The sequence below is a fragment of the Homo sapiens genome, chromosome 18 (genome assembly GCF_000001405.40).
Source record: "Homo sapiens chromosome 18, GRCh38.p14 Primary Assembly".
NCBI classification, from domain to species: Eukaryota; Metazoa; Chordata; class Mammalia; order Primates; family Hominidae; genus Homo; species Homo sapiens.
This window is the reverse complement of record NC_000018.10, coordinates 67,089,152-67,106,725: the sequence shown is the minus strand read 5'-3', so window position 1 is coordinate 67,106,725 and position 17,574 is coordinate 67,089,152. Positions and strand designations below refer to the sequence as shown.

The 17,574-nt window shown below is 34.7% G+C and overlaps 1 annotated feature.

Annotated features, from left to right (window-relative positions):
• Positions 1,769 to 1,818: a silencer, noted in NCBI's record as "silent region_9535". NCBI's record gives its function as "represses an Ori minimal core promoter by ATAC-STARR-seq in GM12878 lymphoblastoid cells {active_cell/tissue: GM12878}" and the evidence as "EXISTENCE:reporter gene assay evidence [ECO:0000049][PMID:35858748]".

Sequence of the window (17,574 nt, the reverse complement as noted above, 5' to 3'; positions counted from 1 at the left end):
TTGACCTCTACCTCACACACATAGATCTCTCATTAATATTACATAGATTCAATAATATATTTAGATAGGATTTCAATTTAAGCTATTCCAGAGGCAGTTTTCATTCGTCTTGTGTAAAGTTAATATGGAATTAATGGACCAATCACTTAAGATTTTATATATAATTCACACACTATATGATCTATCAGAACACATACATCAAAAGAGCTTTTTAGGCCATATTATTTTTAAGGTTTTTTTTGAAAGTATTTTGTAGAAAATGCTATAGAAATGTCGGAAAATTTTTGTGAAAGCGACAATTGCCTTCTGTATTCATAACATCCTTATTTCTACTCATATAACTCCAATAAAAGTTCAAACCCAACTTAATTTCTTATCACATATGGAATTGTGAAATATTTGATATATTTCTCACTATATATTTCTATATATCAAAAATATATTTGATATATTTACATATATGCAGATACATACAATATGACTCTATTCTTATATGCATTTTCTTATATATGATAAATTTTCCATATATAAATTTTCATATATATTTATATATATATAAATTTTCCTATACATATATTTTATATATATATAAATAAAAATTTCTGTCTGGGTGTGGTGGCTCAAGCCTGTAATTCTAGCACATTGGGAGGCTGAGATGGGTGGATCACCTGAGGTCAGGAGTTCAAGACCATCCTGGCAAATATGATGAAACCCCATCTCTACTAAAACTACAAAAATTAGCCAGGTGTGGCCAGCACCTGTAATCTCAGGTACTCGGGAGGCTGAGGCAGGAGAACCACTTGAACCCAGGAGGCAGAGGTGGCAGTGAGCCAAGATCGTGTCACTGAACTTCAGCCTGGACAACAGAGTGAGACTCTGTCTCAAAAAAACCAAAAAAGGAAAATTTCTTTTATATATATTTTCTTTATATATATAAGAAAATAGAGTCTCATATATATGAAAATAGAGTCAATAAGCAGCACCTAATTCATCTCTCCACCAACATACATATATATACATAAATGTACACACACATATGTACACATACACACACAGAGAAATATATAAATATATATTTGATATCTATGTGTCTATATTTATATATGTATACATATATAATACATAATATGTATACACATGTATATATGTATACATATATAATACATAATATATGTGTATATAAATATATACACACATATATCAAATATTTATTTATTAGAATATTTATTATATATTTCTGTGTGTCTATGTATATATGTGTGTGTATGTATATATGTTTATGGCTAAAACTTTAGAAAAACTGAATATCTGTTCATCCTTCTTTTTCTGGAAATTTTGCTTTCTTATCACAAAGATGACTCTCTTATTTATTTATTATCTTTCTCCCTAACATCTCATGCTGACTACCAATTTGCAGTTGATAACTGTGCCTTATTCTTGACTAAGAAAATAAAGTCAATTGATGAGACCTAATTCAACTTTCCACCGACAAATCTACCATCTGCGTATATTTGAGCCCAGACATTCTGCCTTATCTTCTGTTACAATTAAAGGACTTCTGCTCTCATGTTTATTCCTTCCTCTGATTATGGATCCCGTAATCTTTCAGCTTGTCAGCTGGAATATAATTTCAGAAATTATAATCAGTCTTTCCATATTATTAATTTCACATTCACAAGTAATTCTTTGGAAATGCTGCTCAAAACATATTTGAATTCTTTTATAAACCCTCTTAAAATTTTTATTTGACAAGAGGGTTGTGTTCCATTGCCACATACAATCACATGTCAGTATCTGTCATGCAATTACCTTCGCTGAATGGTATGACAGGGAGAACCCCTGCGCCACCTTCTGGCAAGAGCTTTAAGAGCCATGACATGATTCCCCCAGTGCTGCATTTCTCTAACTTGAGAAGTGCGATGAAGAAGAAGGGATGCTATTTCAACCAGGGATATACGCAACTAGGAACAGACAACCAGAACTAAATTACCTACATTCACACTAAAGAACAAATAAGCTAATGAGATTAATTAACTGTGGACAGTGTTAAATCTGGAGCCCATGTTCTTAACTTTTGTTCTGAAATATATTCACTACTTTCCTAAACGAAAGAGACTTAACTTAACACATTCAGAAATGACATATTGAGATCACTTAAAAAATTGTTTTTCTTGCTGATGATCTCTATTTTTTTCTGATCTCTATATTCCGATCTCTATTTTCTTACTGATAATCTCTGTTCTACTAGTTCTTTTGTGATACTAACCAGACCAACGGCTTCTTCATCTTCTGCCATTGAAATCACCTTATGAAAATATCCCCTATTCTGACACTGTCCATAACAGCTTAAAATCTCAATACTGAGAGATGAAAATCTTAGAATATTGCTTGAAAATGTATCCTAAACTTGCATGTAATAATACAGTTTTCAATCTCTGATTCTTTCTGGAGATCAGTGAATAAAAATATGATGCCTTCCTTTCTTCCTCTCCCCTTTCCTCCCTGTTTTCCTTATTTTCTTCTTTGCTTCCTTCCTTACCTTAACACTTACTGTCTACCAAGTGATCTGCTCTGAGACATATGCTACCATACAAAGATAGAGAAGACACAGTTCTTCCTTCTTGTGACTTTTAGGTAAATAGAGTTAAACAGAACTGAAACCAATAAAGTATTACAGGTATCATTATAGACTCACATACAGGATAGGATATTAAAGAGTGTATAGTCACTTATATTAGAGGAAATAAAAAAAATTAGTGGAGTCATGCTTTTAGAGCTGACAGACCACAGAGGCAAAGAGTTGTCTAAGGGTTAAGAAAGAGTGGTAGGCGGGGCATAGTTGCAGGCAACTGTAATACCAGTTACTGGTAAGGTTGAGGTGGAAGGATCACTTGATCCCAAGGGTTCGAAACCAGCTTGTGCAAAATAGCAAAAACTTGTTGCAATAAAAATAAAATAATATAAAAGCTTTAAATAAAAAAGGAAAAAGTCATAGCATAAGCAAAGGCAAGGAAGCAAGTTAGAATGTTTTGGGTGCCACAAGCATTTTAACATAGCTCGAGTTCAACGGATGTGAAAGGAGTGGTGAGTAGGGGAAAATTTGTTTCAAACCTGGGGCATAGATTTATTTTTTTCTAAGTGATAAATAGATTAAAAATCCACACTAAATATTCCATTATCTCTATATAGAAGTATTTTAATTATGCCACAAATCTACATAAAACATGCCACTGCCTTTAGAAGCAGCCTTCACTGATGCATCATAGTGGCTAGAAGACAAAGGTTTTATGGTGCTGACATTGTCAACTTAAGTCTATAACATGAGAGTAAAAGTTTTAATTGCATCTAAGATTGAGTTAAATCATTGCAGTAGAAAAATAAATACTACAGGACACTTGGGAGATTTTAGGAATGAAAATATCATGTAGGAATAAAGCTACTGAAAAATTGTTTTTGGATGTATCAGGATGGACACATGACCTCACATCAGAAAGGAAGTCCACCTATTCTTGAATAACTTTTTAATTAACTGTTATACATATTAATTAGAGCAAAAATGAAATGGACAAACTGTATCATAAGGAGAAACCAAAATCAGTTTTTAAAATTATGCAAAATATCCAGATAAAATACAATTAGCTAGAGGATTTGGTTTTTACTTTGACAATAGAAGTGTATAGTTGCAAATTAAGTTTATCATCATTTTTATGTCAGCATTTTTTTTCTGAATTTCTCACTAGGAGTGTTGATGAATAAAAAATTACAAATAGAAGTGCTCCGTTTCAGAAATACATCAATTGTTAGTGCTCTACAGAAAACTATACTATAAAGTAATGAGAGCGTCCATGTTTTGAGAAAATTTTTTTCAACCAATAATAACTTTATCCTGCCTCAGTTGTCTTTTTTTTTTCTTCTGGCCTAATTTCCTTTTAAACAAACAATGTAGAAACACACTGAAACATGCAAGAAGGTGTTTTTTAACAAGCAAGTTTGACATCTATTGGTGTACAATATAATGGCCTTTCTCCTGTTTGTACTCAAGGTTTTTCTGCAATGTTGAACATTTATGTCTCTATATTTACTTATTCGCTCATTTAATACTTACTTATCAAATACTTAGAGTGTGCTAAAACTGTTCTGGGATGTAGGTTATTAAGGTGAATCAAGTCTATATGGCTTCTGCCCTCATACACTTTACCTTATTTATATCACACCTTAGCTTCACAAGACTCATTGGAATGAATGAGTTCAACTCCCATTTTTCTAGACGAAGGAACTGTGTCTCTAATTACAAAGGTGTAAACCAGCCCAAGTTCAAAAAGCTGACAATATTTCTCTCCTAGATTCCTTTTCTATCTCATTAATACCAAGCTTTTCTAAAGGCACCCGTTTCTAAATTTTAATGTATTTTCTGACTGTATCTTTCATCTTTATTGTTCATAGTAGCTTGGTGTTTAATATATCTCTTAATTCTTATATATAAGTTTTTTTAAAATTGATTCATTTTTATGCCCATTGTGATCATCATGGTCCATATTTTTATGGTTGCATGGTTGAAATAATACAACAGCTTCCTTCTGTAATTCCCTAAATGATCTTCTAGTCCATTTAACACGCAGCCCCGTATGATAAATTCGGCTGTTTAGCGCCTGACCCACCTGCCAACAATCAGTAAGAACAAAAGCACCCACTTAAGCCTCCCAAAGTGCTGGGATTACAGGCGTGAGCCACCACATCTGGCCCAGGCTATTGCCTATGGCTCCCTTGTTTCTGTTTATGGGTAAATCTTAAAATAGTTTCCTCTTTCTGTTTTATATTTGATTTCTCCACCTGTTACTATTTCCCTTAGCTTCTGACCTTATTCCTATCTGTAATAACATATTCTTAGTTCTGTTGTCATTTATTGCTCTTTATTTCATTTCTTGATTCAAATAAATATGAACATTTATTTCTGGTTTTTGAGTGTAGCTTCAACTCATTTGCCTGATGATAAACTGCATCCCAGTCCTGCGCTGGCATTCAGGGGGTGCTATCACTACGTGTTTCCCCAGGCTCCATAATCAACTTTTCTTCCAATAAATTTAGCCTATTACATCCTTAAACATCCCTGTACTTCTCGTTTGAATATCTCCCAGGATCGTCAAGCTTAATGTGTAAAACAAAATTATCTGCATTGCTCTTCAAACCTTGTATCTCTAAGTTTGCCCTATCTCAGTATGTGACAGTCTATGCACACTCATTTGCACAAAGTAAATTCAGAAACTGTTCTTGACTGCTCCCTTTACCCCAGTCTAAAACTGAATTAAATGTAAGTCCTGTCCCAACTTATTTCCCAATATCTCTAAGCTGTCCACTTTTCTTCTTCCCTATTGCTGCTACACTCACCTGGATCAAAATTACTTCTGCTGTGGACAGATTTTCCAGGCTCCTAACAGATCAACCTATCTCACTCCATTGAAAGAAGACAACCAACAGACTTACATGTATAACAATTGCTATATTGTCATCTGATTAATTATGGCACATATTTTATATAAGATGTTTCTCAAAGATTGTTAATTATTATTTTAATCAATCAATGTTTCTAATGTTATCTTTGAAAATACATAAACCTGACTATGGCATCACTTTACATATGATATGCTCCTTATATTTCAGGTATTAAGGCTTTCAATGGTTTCTCACTAAAGCAAAACTCCTTAATATGATCAACAAATCGCTACATATTTTGAGCCATCTACCTGTCTGCATGTTTTGCAGTTTGCTTTGGCACATGATGCCCCAGTACTAATACCTTTCCAGTACCTTGTGTGAAGCAACAGACCACACTCTCTTTTAAACCACACTTGGTATCCAAGTGTAATTCTCTTTCTAGTCTATCTGATTTTTATTATACTCATGTAGAACATTATGACCCTTAATTATCATCTCACCCTTTACATACCTCCTTAAACGTCATTTCACAAAGAGGTCTTTCCTGAACTGTACATTGGGTGAATTCCTCCCATTCCCATTCCAGGTGATTGCCTATTTATTTATGCATGTATATATTTATATTTTATTTATTTTTGAGACAAAGTCTCACTCTGTCGCCCAGGCTGGAGTGCAGTGGGGCAATCTCGGCTCAGTGCAACCTCCACCTCCCAGGTTCAAGTGATTTTCCTGCCTCGGCCTCCCTAGTAGCTGGGATTACAGGCGCACACCACCACCCTTGGTTAATTTTTGTATTTTTAGTAGAGATGGGGTTTCATGATGTTGGCCAGGCTGGTCTCAAACCTCTGACCTCAGGTGCTCCACCCACTTAAGCCTCCCAAAGTGCTGGGATTACAGGCGTGAGCCACCACGTCTGGCCCAGGTTATTGCCTATTTAATTAGCTACTTTCTCTACTAGATCCTATGCTCCTTTAGGAAAATAACATTCTCCATTTTTATGTTTTTGGTCCTTTTTATTCCAGATTCTTAGCATCTAGCAGAGTACTTAATGCATGAAAGGATCTCTGTATCTATTTTTGTAAACAACTAGTAATTACCAGTGATCACAGGGCTGGATTTCGTGCTGGCTTTTGTTACTAGGTTGGTCTGTCATTCTAGGTAAACGCTATATGCATGTTGATAGTCTATTCAATACCCTTGTTCTGAATGTATTGATCATATTTCTTCAGTGACTTTCAACTCTTATCCATATTACCCAAATTCTTCCATGATAATTCTCCAAATCTTACTCATTTGAAATGTTCCTCTTTGTGTAATTAATCTGAATTGTGTTCACAGTTCTGGTTCACTCAGTGAGTTACTTCTATGCATGTTCCTGGCCTCAACCAGACTCTGAGGTTCTAATTTTCTCTTTACCACATATCACACAGGCTGCGCAAACTTCTGTTTCTATTTAACACTGTGATCACCCTCTACTCTCTCAGACTAGAGACTCCATAGCCTGACCAATCCATGCTGCCAACTTTTCCGTAACAATTCCAGGTCCAATCAAGGCTATTGGATAACACATCACGGCATCTCAGATTTGGTCCCCTTATAAGTACCTTCACTCTAGTTGCTCTGACCCCTCACTAGCCTAGAAATTCTTTCCTTTTTTTTTTTCTTATACTTTCCATAGTGGATGTTTTGAATGACTCTCTCTCTCTCTCTTTTTTAAACCGATGACACTGCTATGTAGCCGTCACGTTAAGCAGATGAACTCAATTTCTACTTCCACAAACAATTTAAACAATCAGAAATAATTTCTCTCAGTGTTATGTTAAAATCCTTTAAATATTATCTTAACCTAGATCTTTGCTGTCCTCTTTGTGTCAGGCTCTAATGGACAAGGAGAATCTCCTCTAGAATAAGGGCAATCCTTTCACTAGTGTCCAGTGTTACAGTCAACTTCCTTTCCCCAACACAGTCTTTGTTTAATGGAAAAAGAACAGCTACGGGTTTTTAAAATCAGCTTTTGAAAAAATTATATCCTTCCCACAAATGGTATACACACATAAATCATATTTAATAAATATACACACAAAATACAAACACCCCCCTTTCTGTGGACCTCATTACTCTTTCTGCTATGTCCTGTATGCCTCTCCTCTGTAAATTAAGCCTTCACGAAGAGGTGACTACACTGGCTGCTTCCATCACTCTCTTCATGAGGTGTTTTTTTTTTTTTAATATGGAGTTTCACTCTTTCAGCAGGCTGGAGTGCAGTGGCGCGATCTTGGCTCACTGCAACCTCTGACTCCCGGGTTCAGGCGATTCTCCTGCCTCAGCCTCCTGAGCAGCTGGAACTACAGGCGCACACCACCACACCCGGCTAATTTTTGTATTTTTAGTAAAGACGGGGTTTCACCATGTTGTCCAGGATGTTCTGGATCTCTTCACCACGTAATCCACCCGCCTCAGCCTCCCAAAGTGCTGGGGTTACAGGTGTGAGCCACTACACCCGGCCCTCCCTGAGTATTTAAAAAAAATCACAGACACCTTTGTCCTTAGTAGTTTCTTATCACTAATTTCACTAATGATATTTATCACTAAAGATCTTGTGAATATTCAATTCAGAAGTTAATTCTCAATCCTTATATCACCTAAGCTACTGGACAGTTACTTTTGTTTTCCATAAAAAAAAAGTCTTGTATCCTTGACTCTTTGACACTTTTTCCTAAGTTTTGTTTGCTTTTATTTTATGAACTGCAACTTCCTGAATATCTTCCCATTGACAGAGGAGTCTGAGTTGCACCTTTGTTCTACTCATTTTGGAAAATTATTGTATTTTACTCCTAGGAAGCATAGGTAATGTACTTCTATTTCTTCCCTGTCTTTTAATAAATGTTTCTATTATTTTTAGTGATTTTCCCAGAAAGTAACCAATTATTTGAATCTGAGTGCTCAATTGTACTTTAAGTCAAACGTTAGTTTTTCCATTAATTTTATTTTATTATTTATAATTTGTTCTGTGACTATTGTTCAGGAATATAAAGTACTAAACTTATAGCATTTTTTTTTTGGTTGGTTTTTAAGGAGACCACATCTCTTTTTTGTTTCTGAGAGTATTGGATGAGTTCCTGTTTGTATTAGTTTCTTCTCACTCTGCTAATAAAGACATACCTGAGACTCAGTAATTTATAACGGAAAGAGATTTTATTGACTCACAGTTCAGCATGGCTGGGGAGACCTCAGGAAACTCACAATCATGGTGGAAGGGGAAGCAAACATGTCCTTCCTTCTTCACATGATGTCAGGAAGGAGAAGTACTGAGCAAAATGGGGAAAAGCCTTTATAAAACAATCAGGTCTTGTGAGAACACACTCACTATCACGAGAACAGCAGCATGGGGGTAACACCCCCACGATTCAATTACCTCCCACCAGGTCCCTCCCAAGACATGTGGGGATTATGGGAACTACAATTCAAGATGAGATTTGGGTGGGGACACAGCTAAACCATATCACTGTTTCTACTTCCAAATACAGTAGTAGATGATTTTTCAGTTACACCCATTCGCTAAATCTTCCAGATGCTTTGCCTTTTTTTTTTTTTGTTGTTGTTGTTGTTAAACAACACTCCTTCACATATTCCATAGCATTATTGGGTTTAAAGCCTCCTGAATGAATATGCAGTCATGAAAGGTCTTTTTAGGATCTTATCATTAAGTGTAGCATGAATGGTATGCATCTGGTCTCAAGTTTACCTGCATGCATATACAGGAGGAGGTGTTAAACTTGGCTGTTCAACAATACTTCCTAAGGATTCTGGATTCTGCATACTCAGATAATTTAAGTAAATCAATTTGCAGATTGCTATCTACTATATTCTTCTTTTCTAAAATTCATTTTTCTTGCCCTAACCTGCAGCCACAAAGTTAGTTGTAACAATTCTGGGCACCAGGAAATGAGGCAACTCAAAATACTGCTGCAGAGAAACCTTCTTTAGAGAAGATCTCATAAGGCTTCTGCAACTCTTATCATACTCTCTCATTTCCTGTTTAAGAACAAAACATGACACCAGAGACAATATCTTGGCCTACACTGGGATGTTGGAATTTATATATATTGTAGAATAGGAAAAATTAAGACAATGCTTTTTGCCATATTCTTCTCAAAAGTAAAATGTTAAGATTTGTGGAAAACATGTTGAACAATATCATTTCTGTGTTTTCAACATTTCTCAATCATGGATGATTGAGAATGTTACCCAAGTAATCTCTCATTATTAAGACATTACACTATTGAGAGATTACTTCAGTAACATTCTCAATCATCTATTTCTCATTGAGTTTTAGATGCATATTTTGCATGATTTCAAGAAGACGTATAATTCTCAACTTTTAATTTCAAAAGATAAACATTAATTCTCAAGTAAAATAACAATTACTGTGATGCTTTATAATTTCCTTAACATCTTTTCAGACTCATAGAAAAATAGTTAATCATTAATTTGCCAACATTTTAATGGAAGCTGCAGATTCACATGCTTTCCACTTAACTACATCTTTTCTGAAATGTATCAAACTCTTCAGTTTAGTCCACTTATTTCTACCTTGTATTTATATTAATGTAATAGGAGTATATGTATGTACATGCATCTGTACTATATGTAAACTTATGAACTATAACACAATTTACAACAATCATTAATATATTTTTTCAACCTTGTAAACACTATTCATCTAATACCTTCTGTCTCTTTTCCTTTTAAATTCCATAAAGTCTTAACTAGACCTATCAAAAAGCAACATTTATATCTGGAAAGTAATTTAGTTAAAATGCAAACACTATTAACTCATTAAACAATGAATTTTCTATAAAACTTTAGGCAATAGTTAAAATTGTTGAAAAATGTAATTTGGTGTTTGATCAACTTTATATTATTAATGATTTTAATAAAATACTAATCTTGAAGACAGTTGTATAATGTGTAAATACTGAACACCTGTGGAATGTATGACACTTAGGGTATACCTTAATATAAATGATAGACTCTAGGTGATAATAATGTGTCATTGAAGGTTTATTGATTGTAACAAAAAATACCACTTCAGTGGGAATGTTTGTAATGAGGGAGGCTATGCATATACGGGCACAGGGGGTATATAGAAACTCGCTACTTTCCCCCTCAATTTTACTGTGAGCCCAGAGTAATTGTTCTAAAAAAATCTATTAAAATACATTATCTTAAACTCTAGACATACATTTAACAAAACCTGTGCAAGACTTCTACTCAGAAAAAATATAAAATGCTGCTGAGATAAATTAAATATGATGTAAATTAATGAAGAGACATAAAATGTTATTGGTCCAGATGACTCAATACTGTTAAGATAAACATTTTCTGCAAATTAAGCAATAGATTAAGCTCAAGGCTATTCAAAGTTATAGCTGACTTAAAAATTACTAATGCACAAGCAGACAATAAAATATATATGGTATAGAAAATAACCTAGACTAGCCAAATAATTTTGAAGGGCAACAAAGTCTGAGAACTTAGTGTACTATAATGCTACAGTAGTCATGAAGAAAATATACGTGTAGATCTTCTCAAAAAAATACAGCACAACGTGGGCAACAGTTTCTGTATGACACAAAATGAGTAAGTACTTTTAGCTTTGTGACAACACAGAATTTTTGTGGAACAGTCTACTCTTATTTTTTATTGTTGTAATTTGCTTGTTTTGTTTTATACAACCTTTAAAACCGTAAAAATGTTTTTACCTTGTAAGCTGTACAAAACCAGGTTGTGGGCCAGATTGACCGTGTATTTCCCACTCCTAATGAAAAGAGTTCAGGTATAGGCTCAGACAGTTTATAGATACATGATCAGAAAGTTTCATATAAAGGTTTTAAAAAGTTTATATAGAATTATGACAAAATTTTTATAAGAGAACCATTTGGAATTTGCAAGTTTACTAACATTTGCAACTTTATGTTTCATTTTCTATATATACTGATTTTAATATGCTATCTCATAATTATTACAAGTTTCCATCATCCATATATATATATGTTGATGAAATCTCATAAAAGGAACATTACCCTGAGTACTTTGATTAAATGCCAAATACTTACATGTTTTACTGATATTACTACTATTTGAAAAAAAAAATTTCCAGTACTGACACTTCTAAGGCAACCATATTTAAACAGATATGACAATTTTCATTAATAGAAAATAAAGATTAAATTTATATAAAAAGTTAGTATTATTGCCTAGACCTTGCTGAAAAAAATAGAAAATGGAAACGACTGAAATGTCATTAATCAGAATGAGTCCTCTGTTTTCTCACACCTATTCTCTAATGATTTTTGAGAGAATTTGATACTGAGTTCCAGCATGGAGGTGATAATGAGCTAATTGTTATTTAGGGGGCTGCAAAGGAGATCAGGGATCACTAGGCACAAACAATATCTGATAACTATTGTTCACTCCATGCAACCAATAAATATTTCCAAGGCAGAAAAGTTATGTAAGTACCAAAAAATAAATATTTTTACATGGTTACTTATATGTACTAATCTTTCCAACTGCTTTTTGCTTAAATGTTCTTCTGTTTTACACTGTTCACAAAAATTAAGTATTGTTACAATTATAGATGACTAGTTTACTTTGTCTGTAATGCAAACGTTTTAATAAAAGAAAAATGCCGCTGAATCATAGTAAGAAAATATCTTGTGATTTCTTCAAGTTGGTTGATAAAACTCAAGAGACATTGATGGCTGGAAAAACAACACTGCCCACCTGTGTAGAAATGAATCTAACCCCTCTTCCCACTCCCCACCCCTGCTACACTTATTATGTATGTAAACTTGTGTAACGTGGCTTTCTCTGTGCATTTTCTCATCTGTAATATCAGAATGATAATTGCATCCACTTCATAGGTTTGTATGAGAATAAAGAATGTAGGTGCATGAAAATTCTTTCAGGAGAGTCATCATTGAGTAAATGTTTTTTTTACCTTGATTCAGTTATGTATCATCATAACAAATACTGATTTGTTTCCTTAGTACAATTTTTCCTTTTGAAATAAATCAGAATATAAACCAACACCTAAGATATAGATGAAATATAGCGTAATAACATTTTTAAAATTATTTCAGTAAACTTTGTTGACAAATTTTGCAGCCATAAAAGCTAATGTTTTCACTATGACTAGGCTATTTCAATGTTAGTTATTGCAAGAAATGCTTTACAAAATGCTTAAAATAATTACAGGAAGCTTGCAATGGGCACATGATACAAAATGATCCAGGGGAAGATATGCTCCAGACTGTGTGTTGGGTGTTTGGGATTTTAATGTCAATTGTTCATCAAAAGAAGTTTGGAGAAAAGAGTAGGAGAAAAGAATGACTTGGGGAACATATCTGTGGGACAATTTCACCTAGAGATTCTTGTATTGAAAATGACATTTTCCCCACGCTTCTTTATAGTCTCTATACTTCTAAGATAAATGAAAATGGTATTTTGACATCAGCAGTTAACATAATAGTAATAACATAAAGAATATTGTATGCAGAAAAGGAATCTTAATTGCAATGAATGTCAATAACATACAAGCGAACTCTATTTAAAGTAAAACTTATGAGGAATTCAAATAATGGTGCCTAACAAATGGGGAAGGATTATATAAGCCTATCATATTTCCTGTTTTCCTCTCTAAGTGTCCAAGTATCCTACTTGGTGATTTCATTTGATAAATTACACCTGATTGGAACAGAAATAGCATATTTAGAAAAGATGTATGTTTGTGTATTACAGTGTAAGAATATGTAGTTGTCAAAATAAAAATAGTGAACAGCAGTATTAATCAAACTACAGTTAATACAAATTTATTTCACACATTTTGATTCTGAATATTTTCTATGGATTTATTTAATATTCATGCAGAGTCCTTGAAAAATGATTCATTTTGCTGATAGATGTAGTGGGTGGAACTGCATCATTGCACAAAAAATGCATTAACTGATATGATAACGTAGTCCTAAATGTAATAGGATTCATTACTACCAGAAAATAGTGCTATGATGCCTATAAACAGTTTCTCTGGTTTTGAAAAATGTTTATCACACAGAAATTTCAAAAAAATTTTACACCTATAAGGGTTCATGTTTTATTCAATAAATAAACTGAAATTAATTATCTCAAAAGACAACTGAGTTATTTCTGCTCTGCTCTACATGATACGGCTTTATTCATTTTTGTGATTAAGATGTAAAACAAAACAAAATGTGTGTGTTTCCATGTGTGTACACATACACAGATACATCTATTACTACCTACAGCCAAACACCTGTGCAATAGTTTGGCCCTCAACTAAAAATATTATATCAGAAACTCCTGAACTACATTAAGAAACCATGATGCAGTCATACTAACAACTAGAAATTTATGCCACTCCTTCACCTCACGTCTTGTCATACTGACTTTCTGCTTAAAGGTTTTCCTGTGACCTTGAGGTTTAATTACTTATCCATCTGTCCTATATAATCCCAAAGCCTTTGATCCATGTTAGCATTGGTTTTACTCTTGATTCCCTGCCTATCTGTGTTGCCGAAGAGAACACAAGGTTATTGATGAATAAGATGAGGATGGTAACCACGATAGCTGTATTACTCTGTTTTCATACTGCTATAAAGAACCACCCGAGACTGCATAATTTATAAAGGAAAGAGTTTTAATAGATTCACAGTTCTGCATGGCTGGGAAGCCCTCAGGAAACTTATAATCATGGCAGATGGTTAAGGGGAAGCAAACACATCCTTCTTCACAAGGCAGCAGGAAGAAGTGCTGAGAGAAAGGGGAAGAGCCCCTTATAAAACAATCAGATCTCATGAGAACTCACTCACTATCACTAGAACAGCATGGAGTAATCTGCCCTCATGATTCAATTGCCTCCACCTGGTCTCTCCCTTGACATGTGGGGATTATGGGGATTACAATTCAAGACGAGATTTGACTGGGGACACAAAGCCTAACCATAACAATAGCTAAGGTTTACTGAAAGGTTACTCTGTGAACAGCTTCACTGAATAATCTTATGTTAAAACAGCTTAAGAAAGGATAATAGCTTTAATTTCTATTTTGATCTTGCATTTCCTCTTACATTTTCAAGGCATTCCAATTTTTACATAATGTTAAGGTATGATAATTCTACTTGATAAAATACTTAAACTTTTCCACTCTTTGATAATCCTTCTGAACAGACTCAAAAAATAATATCACTCAAAATTAGCTCAGTCTAGAGGTTAAAACCAATTCTTGTTCACATCACAAGACCTCTTATTTTTTTTATTATACTTTAAGTTCTAGGGTACATGTGCACAATGTGCAGGTTTGTTACATATGTATACATGTGCCATGTTGGTGTGCTGCACCCATTAACTCATCATTTACATTAGGTATATCTCCTAATGCTATTCCTTCACCCACCTCCCACCCCACGACAGGCCCTGGTGTGTGATGTTCCCCTTCGTGTGTCTAAGTGTTCTCATTGTTCAATTCCCACCTATGAATGAGAACAAGCGGTGTTTGGTTTTTTGTCCTTGCGATAGTTTGCTGAGAATGATGGTTTCCAGCTTCATCCATGTCCCTACAACGGACATGAACTCATCATTTTTATGGCTGCATAGTATTCCATGGTGTATATGTGCCATATTTTCTTAATCCAGTCTATCATTGATGGGCATTTGGGTTGGTTCCAGGTCTTTGCTATTGTGAATAGTGCCACAATAAACATAGGTGTGCATGTGCCTTTATAGCAGCATTATTTATAAGCCTTTGGGTATATGCCCAGTAATGAGATGGCTGGGTCAAGCGGTATTTCTAGTTCTAGATCCTTGAGGAATCGCCACACTGACTTCCACAATGGTTGAACTACTTTACAGTCCCACCAACAGTGTAAAAGTGTTCCTATTTCTCCACATCCTCTCCAGCACCTGCTGTTTCCTGACTTTTTAATGCTCGCCATTCTAACTGGTATGAGATGGTATCTCATTGTGGTTTTGATTTGCATTTCTCTAATGGCCAGTGATGATGAGCATTTTTTCATGTGTCTGTTGGCTGCATAAATATCTTCTTTTGAGAAGTGTCTGTTCATATCCTTTGCCCACTTTTTGATGGGGTTGTTTGTTTTTTTCTTGTAAATTTGTTTGAGTTCTTTGTAGATTCTGGATATTAGCCCTTTGTCAGATGAGTAGATTGCAAAAATTTTTTCCCATTCTGTAGGTTGCCTGTTCACTCTGATGGTAGTTTTGTTTGCTGTGCAGAAGCTCTTTAATTAGATCCCATTTGTCAATTTTGGCTTTTGTTGCCATTGCTTTTGGTGCTTTAGACATGAAGTGCTTGCTCATGCCTATGTCCTGAATGGTATTGCCTAGGTTTTTTTCTAGGGTTTTTATGGTTTTAGGTCTAACATTTAAGTCTTTAATCCATCTTGAATTAATTTTTGTATAAGGTGTAAGGAAGGGACCCAGTTTCAGCTTTCTACATATGGTTAGCCAGTTTTCCCAGCACCATTTATTAAATAGGGAATCCTTTCCCCATTTCTTGTTTTTGTCAGGTTTGTCAAAAATCAGATGGTTGTAGATGTGTGGTATTATTCCTGATTGCTCTGTTCTGTTCCATTGGTCTAGATCTCTGTTTTGGTACCAGCTCCATGCTGTTTTGGTTACTGTAGCCTTGTAGTATACTTTGAAGTCAGGTAGCAAGATGCCTCCAGCTTTGTTCTTTTAGCTTAGGATTGTCTTGGCAATGCAGGCTCTTTTTTGGTTCCATATGAACTTTAAAGTAGTTTTTTCCAATTCTGTGAAGAAAGTCATTGGTAGCTTGATGGGGATGGCATTGAATCTATAAATTACCTTGGGCAGTATGGCCATTTTCACGATATTGATTCTTCCTATCCATGAGCCTGGAATGTTCTTCCATTTGTTTGTGTCCTCTTTTATTTCGTTGAGCAGTGGTTTGTAGTTCTCCTTGAAGAGGTCCTTCACATCCCTTGTAAGTTGGATTCCTAGGTATTTTATTCTCTTTGAAGCAATTGTGAATGGGAGTTCACTCATGATTTGGCTCTCTGTTTGTCTGTTATGGAAACTGAACAACCTGCTCCTGAATGACTAGTGGGTACATAACGAAATGAAGACAGAAATAAAGATGTTCTTTGAAACCAATGAGAACAAAGACACAATGTACCAGAATCTCTGGGGCACATTTAAGGCAGTGTGTAGAGGGAAATTTATAGCACTAAATGCCCACAGAGAAATCAGGAAAGATCTAAAATTGACACCCTAACGTCACAATTAAAAGAACTAGAGAAACAAGAGCAAACACATTCAAAAGCTACCTGAAGGCAAGAAATAACTAAGATCAGAGCAGAACTGAAGGAGATAGAGACACAAAAAACCCTTCAAAAAATCAATGAATCCAGGAGCTGGTTTTTTGAAAAAATCAACAAAATTGATAGACTGCTAGCAAGATTAATAAAGAAGGAAAGAGAGAAGAATCAAATAGAAGCAATAAAAAGTGATAAAGAGGATATCACCACCAATCCCACAGAAATACAAACTACCATCAAAGGGTGCTACAAACACCTCTATGCAAATAAACTAGAAAATCTAGAAGAAATGGATAAATTCCTGGACACATACACCCTCCCAAGACTAAACCAGGAAGAATTTGAATCCCTGAATAGATCAATAACAGGCTCTGAAATTGAGGCAATAATTAATAGCCTACCAACCAGAAAAAGTCCAGGACCAGATGGATTCACAGCCGAATTCTACCAGAGGTACAAGAAGGAGCTGGTACCATTCCTTCTGAAACCATTCCAATCAATAGAACAAGTGGGAATCCTCCCTAACTCATTTTGTGAGGCCAGCATCATCCTGATACCAAAGTCTGGCAGAGACACAACAAAAAAAGAGAATTTTAGACCAATATTCCTGATGAACATCGATTCAAAAATCCTCAATAAAATACTGGCAAACCGAATCCAGCAGCACATCAAAAAGCTTATCCACCATGATCAAGTGGGCTTCATCCCTGGGATGCAAGGCTGGTTCAACATATGCAAATCAATAAATGTAATCCAGCATATAA